Source organism: Homo sapiens, chromosome 8 (assembly GCF_000001405.40).
Source record: "Homo sapiens chromosome 8, GRCh38.p14 Primary Assembly".
Lineage (NCBI taxonomy): Eukaryota > Metazoa > Chordata > Mammalia > Primates > Hominidae > Homo > Homo sapiens.
The window spans coordinates 58,739,282-58,750,902 of NC_000008.11; the positions used below are offsets into that span (position 1 = coordinate 58,739,282).

Genomic DNA, 11,621 nt, shown 5'->3' on the forward strand with positions numbered 1-11,621 from the left:
CGGTGGCTCACGCCTGTAATCCCAGCACTTTGGGAGGCTGAGGCAGGCAGATCATCTGAGGTCGGGAGTTCGAAACCAGCCTGACCAACATGGAGAAACCCCATCTCTACTAAAAATACAAAATTAGCTGGGCATGGTGGCGTATGCCTGTAATCCCAGCTACTCAGGAAGGCTGAGGCAGGAGAATTGCTTGAACCCTGGAGTCGGAGGTTGTGGTGAGTCAAGATCGTGCCATTGCACTCCAGCCTGGGCAACAAGAGTGAAACTCCAAAAGAAAGAAAGATAAATAGAGTGTTCTCAGTGGACCTGACAGGAGAGCGTATGGAATGTTTGGGAAACCATAATAACTTTAGCATTGCTGGGGTCAGGTGGTAGTTGAGCAGCTTGGGTGAAACAAGGCTAGATAGGCAGGTAGGGGCCAGATCATAAAAGGCCTTGTCAGACTTACAAAGGAGTATACATTTTAAACTCACTTGTGAAGGGGCCAGAAAAGCTGTGGCCAGAATAGAATTCCAATCGGTTTTATATGTTGTCAGTAACTGACAGGATGGCACAGTCGGGGATGAATTCAAGGGAGCAGGATTTGAGATTGGGAGAGAAAAGCTGTGGATATCTGGACCAGGGAAGGAACACTGAGTGTGAGGAGAATATGACTGAAAGCAATTTAGGCTATAAATTTATAAATTTTTTATCACACCGATAAAAGAAAGTCAGAGGCATGTAGGATGACTCCATAGGTTCTAACCTGGACAAATGAGTAGATGGTATGTTGGTGTCATCAACAAAGGTAGTAGAGAGTGGGCTTGGGGGAGTGAGTTCAGAATGATAAATGTTGGATGTGAAGATTCAGGCCAGGGTGACATCCAGGAAGAAATACCCAGCACAGAGTCACACAGCCCTAATGTATGGTTCACCCACTGTTTTGATGAACTCTTTACTTACACGTATTCAGAACAAGACTGTAAATTCTTTGTAGGCAAAGACTGTCTTGTTAACTGTTGCACATGTAAACCCTACCAAACATCTAACAAATATATGTGTTTGAACAAAAGAACAGGGTCTCAGGTGGATATGAAGCTCTGAAAGTTGGCAAGGAGGTTGCAAATGAAGCTTTGTGTATCCATTAAGGTTACAGCAAGAAACAAAAGGACTTAAGGGAAGATAGTTTAATGAAGGGATCATTTACAGAGGTGTGGGCATGGTTAAGGGAGCCAAGTTGAACAGACAGCTGTTCATACCCCTAGGCCTGAAAGGGCAAAGGGAAGATTGAGTTTCAGCAGAGTTTATGAGGCTGGAGCCAGGGAGGGGTAGTCTGGCAGGAGATGTAGTAACAAAGGAAACAGCCCCTGTCAGCATGGGGCACCAATACAGGGAGGGGAGAAGGGAGAGAAATATCCTCACTTCTCTTTTCTCTTGCCCTCTCATCTCTTGCTGATGCCTCCTATTGGCCAAATCCACTGGAGGGCAGGGGAGCTCGAGCCAGATAGTCTATGGGAGGCAGTTTCTCCATGAAGCATGCTCAAAGTCAGGATGGGGAACAGACCTACAAATAATATGTACAATATAGTATTAAACATGTACAAGAGACTACTAGTCCGTGGTGAGATCTTGCTTAGTTCCCAAAGAAGGTAACAATTAGTTTAACTTCTAAACATTGACTTGCAATAAATTAGTCTTGGATTTCCATAACCAGGCAGCTTCTGCAAACACACTTCCATTTTGGAGCTGTTTCCTTTTGATCAGAGGAAACTCCTTCCTTGAGTCCGGTTGTACAGTTGCCTCTTTCATGTATTCATATCCCTGACCACATCAGATATGAGCCAAGATAAGGACTCCCCCTTAGATATTTGCCCACCTGGAAGATAAATATTTCTTCCTTAGAACTAACTTTTGCTCCCAGAGATAAATTCTGACTTTCTTCCCTCTGTGCTAGATATACCTTGGGCCAAACATCCAGGATTTACCTAGCATATGTCCAGGGGAAGGGGCGGGATGGGACCCAGTTATGGCCACTAACTTTGTCCACTTGGAAAAAAAACTCTTAGAATACTTTTTCTATCTCTTTATCCTTTTCAAGTGTTTTTTGCTATGACTGGTAAGGCACAAGAATTTGAAACTAGGACATGGGAGCATGTTCCTTCTTTGGCTGATTATTGAGTTATCTCAGTACTCAGATAAGCGTCTATATCTTAGGGATAATAAACACTAGTTAATCTCCCCCTCTTACTCAGTAACCTGTCTCAAGAGAAAGCCTTCCCTTGTTATTGGGCTTCTTCCCCTTTCTGAATTGTTACCTGTTTCAGACATTTCCCTGAGGACAATCGTGAAGCCTCTCTTATAAGGCTGTTCTTAGGAGGGTTATTATACCAGATTAGACAGCCACCTCTCACTCTGTTTAATTTTGTAGTTATTCAACACTGAAAATAAATTTCTTGATCCTCTTTCAATTGATTAATCATAGCATAATTAAGGAAGAGTAAAAGACAGCTGACTCATCTAGTTTACATGTTTAATTTTATCTAAATCACACATTCACAAGGTAAGATGAAAGATGAAACAGAATATGAAAGAATATATATATACCATATATCTATTCTTCCTTAGTATATATAATGTGTATTTGTAATAAACACATCAATATATAATTCATAGTAGTATATGTATAATGTAAGAAAGTACAAAAAATAATATAATGTGCAGCATGTGTCTTGAGGTTTAACTCATTCTTTCTCCAAGAGCCGATCTAACAAAATAGGATAGTTCATGGAATTCAATCACATGGAGTGAGTTTAGAGTATGCCTCCTTACTCTCTCTCCATACTGGGTTTAGATGCCGTTTGATTGACTACCTGTCCCATGGAGGGAAGATGCTATTAGATTTCTCCTCTAAAGATATGTTCCTTCTTTATCACAAATTCCAAGGTTCACTTTTTACTATGACTTCTGGAGCCAGAATAGAATGTCACTTTCAACTCTGATGGCTTCCCGTGTGAGTGTAATGTAACAAGGAGGATAAACTAGATCACACTCCGTGTCCACAGTTGTCCTAATTTATTGTGGACAACAAAACTGAATAGCAGTGGGAGAAGAATTCACTTGAGTTACTATCTAAAAATCCTTCTGGGCCAAGGAAAGAAGGGTTGTTGGCGTTTCACTTTTCAGTTCATGTTTATCCTTGGCCTTCTTCAGATGACAATGAATTTGCTGCACAGGCTCAGCTTGCCCCAGAAAGATCCTGAGTGGTGGTGAATGTTCTCTCCTTCCTTTGCCCCATCTCCAGTGATAGTGCTAAATACTTGTGGGGTAATCTGACACAGCCTTAAAACAATCCAATTTTTCAGTTCTGGGGAATGCTCGAAAGACAGGAGACAATGTTACAATCTGCCATAAGGCATTCTTTAAGCTAGCTCTCCTGTAAGCAGAAAACTAGTTTTATTGAGAAGAGCTACCTTTAATCAGAAAAAAATACCAAGGAAATATGTTACATTGATTTTACCACTAAAAATTGAGAATCTGGGGCAAAGGCAGTTGATATGAGTCAGAACCTTGAAGTTGATGAGCTACGTGCAGCTCAGCATGGCTCCTGATTGCTTAGCGTGATCTGCTGAATGAGCATGTCCATGTCTATACAGCCCCTGAGCTCAATCGTCTTGAGGGTTTACACACAACTGTGTTGAGCACAGTTGTTTATATTAACACATAATTCATCCAATTCCAATTATTAAAATAATTGGCCACAATACAGTTTACCCAGATAATTTTAGCGTTCTTATCAAATTGACCGTTAGCTAGTGACTTGAGGATTCTTTGATCAGCTTCTATGGACCAAGAAAAATACAACCAAACTGTCATAAATTCAGTTGAGCCTTGAAAGTATTGTGGCAACATGCTGCTAGAAATGTCCATTTGGTGAAAGGCACAAATGTTGGCAGTTGTCCATACTAACCCTGCTCATGTGCAGAGATTCCTTCAAAATCATTAGGACAGCTAGCTCTTTCTTCATTAAAATAAATGCTTACTGAAGTCGTACATTAGCTGTCTCTCTGTTTTGCAATCAATTAAGGCAGGTTTTCAACATCTAAATTTCCCCAAATGTTCTCTAATGGGTCTCATTGATATTCTACTTTTCAAAATTCAGATATAAAAGGCATTGGCATCATTAATATCCTTTTCAAAAAAAAGTCTTTCAGTTCATTTTAATGGCTTTACATTCCCCCCCCAAATTTGGGTGGAATCCTTCTGTATCTGGGTTATAACATAGGCCCAATAAAATCAGTGTATGAATATAGTACCACAGCTGTTCAAAACATCACTACCACTATCGCCGTCATTGAACTGTTTACTATGCACTACACAGGAGTAAAAAATTCTCCAGTAAAGTGATCAAAATTTTAACACATATGAACATACTTAAAACCTAAGTTTTGTATGCTATTTAAAAACCTAATATACTATCAGAATGAGTTCATAGTAAAGTTCTGTCTTTCTGCAAAACTGCCTGTAGCTAATCTTACCAATGAGGCATGCATGAGAATACTGCTATCTTCTCATACATATTACTAAATTTGGTAATATTATGTTTTTTTTTTGGAGGAGGAAAAGTATATAAAATTTTATTTTCAGATTATATCATTTATTTAGGGTTTTATTTTTCTATTTCTATTTCTATACTTTTCATATGACTTTCAGTATCACATTATGAGAACGAAGTTATGTGATTCTGTTCCAGCACTAATAATATTTTATTTAAGATATAGGACAGCTTTTTCTGTCTCTTGGGGACAATGTGGACCATATATAGTAAACTACTTAGTGGTTCTGGAAGGATAAGTGCTTTTTTTCTAGTTCTGCTGTGCAACATAGGTTCTCTCCCTTGTGGAGAGGTGAAACACGGTAAAAAATAAAATGTATTAAAGTAGTGACATGAAACATTCTTAGCATTCTCTTCTTTAGTATCCTACAAACTCAATAACTCTCAGAAATTTAATATCTGTCAGCATTTTGACAACCAAGAGCCCATTTGATTCCAAAATGTTTGATATTTTAATATTCTCATCAGATTCTCAACTCACCCCTGCTCCCAAAATAAGCAACCCGGCCCTCTGCAAACACACCAAGCCTGAGGCTGATCTAAGTGGATTCTATATTCTACCATTATAACATTAATGTTTTAATAAATGCACAACATGTAGTACAAAACCCCACAAATGCAGAGGAAGAGTAGGTTCTATTTCCTAACGAGGTCAAATAGTAGGATTTCCTGTTCACAGTCAGAGGTTGCCAGAGAGACATGTACTTGTGCTACCTCTAATTTGGACCCAGGCAGGTAAGATAAGCTTAGAACTCTTTAACCTGAGTTCTCACCTGCAAAGTAGTCTGGCCTTGGGTATAAGAGAAGTCCTATTAAGAATTGTCTATAGGCAGGACCATACATCCATTTGAAGTAGGTACGTTCTCTAAATTTATATTATCTTTTGATTGTAATTTTGTAATTTTCAAGGCAGCGAAGCAATGATGACTTCCCTAGAGCTAACTGGCCACATTGCACATGGTAGGATGGTCAGCTCTAAGGAGAGTGTGGAAATTAGGGGATGGTCGTGTTCCAAAGTCATAGCTCACAGGAGCCTCTCTGAGCTTCCGGGGTTGCGGGGGCAAAGCCAAAGGGCAAATGATGAGGGGAGGGGCGATCCTATGCTTAGATTTTTGACATGACAAACCAGGCAAGCTTGGTAAAGCTATTTGAGTATATCAGCAGTGGTTTCCAGAAAGTATTATTACCACAGATGTTACTGCAAGATAATCAAAAAAACACATCTAATTTGGGGATGTGGAGTACTTGTTTCTGTTGCTGATTCTATCATTTGAAGCTTTCAGAGCTGAAGGCTTTCATGATTAAGCACATATTATTCTCCTGGAAGATATTTCTTTTTTGGCAGATAAGATAATGGAACAGATCCACTGTTTGTCAAGAGGAGTTACTATGTCATTAAAAAGCCTTTAACACAATGTTTTTCTCTTTTCCATGCTGGTTGAAAAGATTTGAATGCTAAAGCATAGATATAACAATAACAGTACAAAACCTAAATTGTCCATGGAAAAGCTTAAACCAACTTCAAACTTTGCATTTGCCAAATGCTCTTCAGGCAATTTAAATGTAATTCAAAACAGGCACTCAGTAGCCACAGATGTGTGTTGCCTCAAAATGTTCTTTGTCTTGGTTGCATACATCCATTTTCCTTCTGAAGGTGCTTTTAAAAATTGCCTCTATTGCTACAGGAGGAAAAAAAATCCAAATACAATGATATCATTTATATGATTAAAATTGTTTTCTTATTAACACTGGAAATGTATTATCATTTACTTCAAAAAAATTCTTAGTTCTACTGTTGGTTGAAACTTAAGAGTAATTCCAGAAGGGACTTTTGCAGGGTAATAGGAGTTAATTCAATACCTAGTGTTCTAAATGCAAGGAGATGATCTGAAACTCCCCTCACTTTAGCAAAAGATACAGAAGAGCTTCTATTTTTGCTCATTTGTACAAAGAGGCCACCACACACTTTGTGTCCATGAGAGGACAAAAACACACCCTAAATATTTTCCAGAAGATCCTCAGTACAGCTAGGTGCCACCCTAGGAAATCTGTTCCCTCAAACACCGTTTGTAGAATTGTGATGCCCCTTGATGAATTTACAGTTCAGGAGACACCTGAACAAAGGAAGTTATGAAAGATTTCTGGGGACCTTTTTGAAGTGAATAAAGTTTCCTAATTGAAATAGACCACATGATGTTCCTCTAAAACCTTAATTTGCCATCTCTGGTCTGGGCCCTCACAGACCTTATGTGCTATTGAGCTCCTTAACCTACATTCTCTCCAGGAAAGTGGACTGGAATTGGGGCACTGCTCCACCCAGAGAATGGCCTAAAAAGGGAACTCACTCCTTGTGGAAGGTTCTGTCCCATAGCTTCTGGGTCTTTAGAAGAGGACTCCTGACCTTTTGAGCCACCTCATTCAATCGCCCTGTACCCTGACAGGGAGAGGGTGGTAATAGAGATTCCAGACTTTGATTCAGCACTGGCTGGATGGAATGGATGCTAGCTTCCTCATTAAACTGGTGTGTGGAACTTCGCTAAGTCTCAGCTCCTCGTAAATTGTATAAGATTAATAGTATCCATCTCATAGGAAAGTGACAATTAAATGAGATTTTATGTATAAATGCCCAGCACAGTGCCTGCTACATAGTAAGTGCTCAATAAAGAGTAGCAAGTTGCAGCAGTGGCATCCATGGTAGTTGTCTAAGTTATGGAAGGAAATGCTTGACATTTTGGGGGTTTGGCTATGGAAATGTTTGATAAAATACCCTTCCATTGTGACACTACACATTCTTTTTTATTTTCCTCTACTTCCATGCAAGTACACTGTGGCTTCAATTTGATTTTGTCAGTGTCAGTGTTGGACAAAAATCATCAAGTCCTGCCTATAGCTCTCTGGTAGCCCACCCTCTCCCTTTTAGAGCCTGCTCAGATTGGGTAATGGGAAGTTAATTGATAAAACAGCAGGTTTTTTGCAATCCATTCTCTTCCTATGAGACTTCTTTGTAATCTTTCTATAAACAGGTTAATGGTAGACTTGGCAAACAGCTAAATGGTGTTTAGGATGTACCTGTTTGTGTAGGATTGTTTGTGGTAACCAGACCTGGAATCTACAAATAGATGGAGCATGACCTCCTAGAATACACCACATATATATGCTATGTGACTGTGGGTATAAGATGGAAAACCTTCATGCCTGATGTGGCCCTCTTCTGTGCAAGTGATGTGAACTGCATGCAGACCTTAGAGGTCACACATGACCCATGGCAGGAAAGGTCCTGGAGAGCTGCTCTGAGGGTGGCAGACCTCTCTCTGCTTCCCCTGTGGCTCACAATGACTCCTGAAATTACTAGTAAAGCTTGATGCTGGGTGAGATCTCAGGTTCTCTGGCATCTTTATTGACAATCTGAGCCTGTGTGCTATGTCAGGTAGTAAGGTGAGTGCCATGGAAGGTAGTACAGTGCCTGGTATATAAAAATGCTCCCCCCCATACTTGTTGAATAAAAGGATAAATGAATAAGAGAGTAAATGGAAAAATGAATGAGTGAATGAATGGGGACTTTTTCTTCCTATTGTCAGTTGTGAATCACCAGAAGACATTAAAAGAAACAAAACACCCAAGAGTGACTCTTTAGTCGTGGATTTCCAGGTATCTTGATTGGCTAAAAGAGAGGAAACAGGGGCAGAAGACTCCTGAAATTCTTCAGACCTAGCCTCCTTCCTGTTGCAAGTGCTTGTATGGATTTTTGGGGGGATAGGGGAAGTATTTTTTTAAATTTTTTAAAGGATAAAGCAAAATGAAATTGTCTGAATTTAAGTCAAGGAGTAATTTGGTCTGATTATACGGTACTTAAGTCTGAACCTGTATGACATTTGCTAATTGGCCTGACTGCAACTACCTTTAAAGGGCCATTATGTGGAACAAAACAGGTTATTGAATTAATAAACAGAGAGAGCTCTTACAATAAATTTTAGGACTTATTACACATTATAGACATGTACCAACATATCACATGTACCTCATAAATATGTACAATTATTTTGTATCAATTTAGAAAAAGAAATCTTAGGACTTAAAAAAGCGTGAATCAACCAAGGCCTACTGAATATATTTTGAAATTACAGATTTTTTTGGCAGCGTATAATAAGCTAAGTGGTTACATTCTAAGATTCCTTCCTTCTTAGCACAGTGGGATTCTCCATTCTATGCAAATCAAGCCTGGCATCATTGAATGGAATCTTATTGGTCTTACTGGAAGATACTCAGGGGGGAAATAGAACTGCCCTGGAGAAGACTTTTTAAAGCCCTGCGTACTTTTTTCCTGAAAGAGTATACCTTCAAGCTTTTATGCTGCAAGAGGGCAAGGCGTCCACCACGGACCTCACTGAGGATTTATTCAGGGTTCAGGATGTTATATTTGTCACTGCAAAGAAACTAGAGCTAAATTGATAAAGTTCTTTATAAATTGGACGTAAGCAAAGTAATTGGAAAACCCCCAAACAAGAAAACTCTACCACTGTAAATTCTGCTCATATCTGTTTTGCTCACCATTGTATTGTAGTCGTATTGTCTGGCACAGTACTTGATAGCAACCTGCTTACCTTTCTTCTAATGCTTGATACTTCAAATGTTTATGTGGCCATCAGGTACTTGGGATATCCAGTCATTCCTTCTGGCTTCGAGCCTATTATTTGAGAGCAAAATTGAGAAGCTATAGTTGTTTGCTGTAAGTGCTATATTTGTGACAATTTCCACAGGTACACCAAGATTCTGGGGTCTGCTGTGGGAGCCACAGGCTAGCTAACTTCAGGATAAGATATTTAAGGAAAGCAATCCTGTAATTATGTTAGCAAAGATTTGTAAACAGAAAGAAAAGCTGCAGCCTGCCAAAGTATTTTTAAGAAGAGACATACTGTTGATTTGTTCCACATTTAACAACTAACATAAATAAGCAAATTCCTGCCTTTTGTCATGTGTCAGACATTCGGTCCTCTAGAAGAATGGCATCTAGAAGAAAAACACATCTGGTTTCTGAGCCCAGCCCTGTCCATCAAGAAAACAGATGGGTTTGAAAGAGACCAGAAGGCAGGACCACGGAGTAAGCTACAGGCATTTTTCTAACTGGAATTTCCTTCTTGGTAATTTGAAGCTTGAGACAGTCCCTGAATATTGAAACTCCATTTCATGCATTTATAATGTGATATGGAATATGAAAAATCAGAAATAGGAATGATGGTAGGAACAGAGACTGTTGCCCACATTTAAATCCTTGTATTTACCATTCAAGAGTTTATCTCTAATGATAGCAGTGTGCTAGAATACAAAGAGATGAACACAAGGAAAAATGCATTCACCAAAAATTACACTTTGCATTCTATCTTTGGGTAAATGGCTTGCCATCTTTCGTTTTAGTATCCTCATCTTCAAAGTGAAAGATTAGGCAGATGATTCTCTACATTCCTGTTATCTTTAGAATTCCAGGACTCATACATACTCTGATGGAATTCTCCACTGGTACAGCCTTTCCAAAGGACCATATATATCAAATATATCAAAGACCCTAGAAATGATCATATATTTTGACTCAGCAATTTCACTTTAAATAGTATATCTTGAGGAAATAAACAGGAATGTATGCAAATATGTATGTACAAGATATTTATTACAAAGTAGCTTATAATAATATTTTGGAAGCAATAAAAATAGTCATGTGTGATTATATGTAAATATGTGATGGTATATTCATAGGCTTGAAAAAAAAATTTCTATGTCAGCCTCAGCAATATTTCCTTTTTATTAAATGGCATGGCTAAAAAAAGAATAGACAAACTGTTCTGGTCAATAAGATTTTCGGCAATGAAATTCACAATCAGTAGCATCTGACTAAAGCTTTGGCTCTGGGCTTTCAGAAGTACTCCATACCTGGTGCTCTAGCAAAGGCAGGAAGCTGCTCTAGTTCAATATTAAGATTCAGTCTTGAGGCAGGAAAATGAAGAGGGGACCAGGGCCTGGCCTGAGAGTCACTCACCAGGCTGCTGTTGGTACTTGGGAGATTCAGGTCGGTATAACTTGGTATTCAAACAGTTCAGCAATAAGTGACACCAGGGATCCAGATGCATCTTCTCGGTGGGCAGAGCATAGACAATGATGGGCAATACAGTCAGATGTCCAGGAAAGAGGTGGAACTGAAGATCTTCCAATTGGTGGCAGGCCTCAAGGATGGGCTGGGATTCAAGAAAAAGGAAGAAATTGTGGGGAAAGAGGTAAAGAAAGAGAGGCACTGTATTGTTATCTAAGCGTGGAGTACATGGGGTAGAGAGGTGTGGGAATTTGACCTTGAAAATCAAGAGCCTTCTTCTCAGAACAGGTAAGGCAAGGAGTGACAATTTAGACTCATCATTCAGAAACCTCATTAACTGGATCCACAGCTCTCTTCGATGTAACCAAGAGGGTGTATCCAAGCTCTGTCTCTAATCAAAAGTCTCATGGGTGGGGAAGCCTGGTAAGCCTGGACTGGAAAAGTGAGAAGGCGGTAATGCTATGATCCAGCTGTGCGTCTCTGGGATCTCTGCTACTCTATGATCTTCGCCATTATGGGGAACAGACTGATGCTGTAGCATCGGTCAAATTCATGCCAGTCAGCCAGCAGAAACCAATCCAAGGACACAAATGGAGCCACACAAAAGCGTGTGAAATAAGAAATTTGATGGTTCACTTTAAATGCCACCATATTTTTCAGTTCTATGAAATTTTTTATTTTACAACTGTTTTTGGACTATCATGTAGAAGCAATGTGTATTTACAGGTGTCTACTGCACAGACCTCACTCTACAGTCCAATGATTTGCTTAATTATGACAAAATGTAAAACAACAGTAAAAACAGACAAAATTATATTATAAAATAATAATACAATAATATGTAATAGTATTATTTATATGTATATATATACACACACACACACACAAAAACCCCACATAAATCAACAGGCATTTGTTGAATACCTGCCATGTATCATGGACTTTACCATG

At 39.1% G+C, this 11,621-nt stretch overlaps 1 long non-coding RNA gene across 1 annotated transcript; it reads right to left on the reverse strand.

Moving 5' to 3' along the window:
* Nucleotides 1-1,430: 1,430 nt before the first annotated feature.
* LOC105375858 (uncharacterized) lies at nt 1,431-10,726 on the reverse strand. Its single transcript, XR_928924.3, has 3 exons — nt 10,620-10,726; nt 9,193-9,275; nt 1,431-1,543 (listed from the first exon to the last, which is right to left on the reverse strand). It is a non-coding gene; the product is annotated as an uncharacterized LOC105375858 (long non-coding RNA).
* Nucleotides 10,727-11,621: the final 895 nt, after the last annotated feature.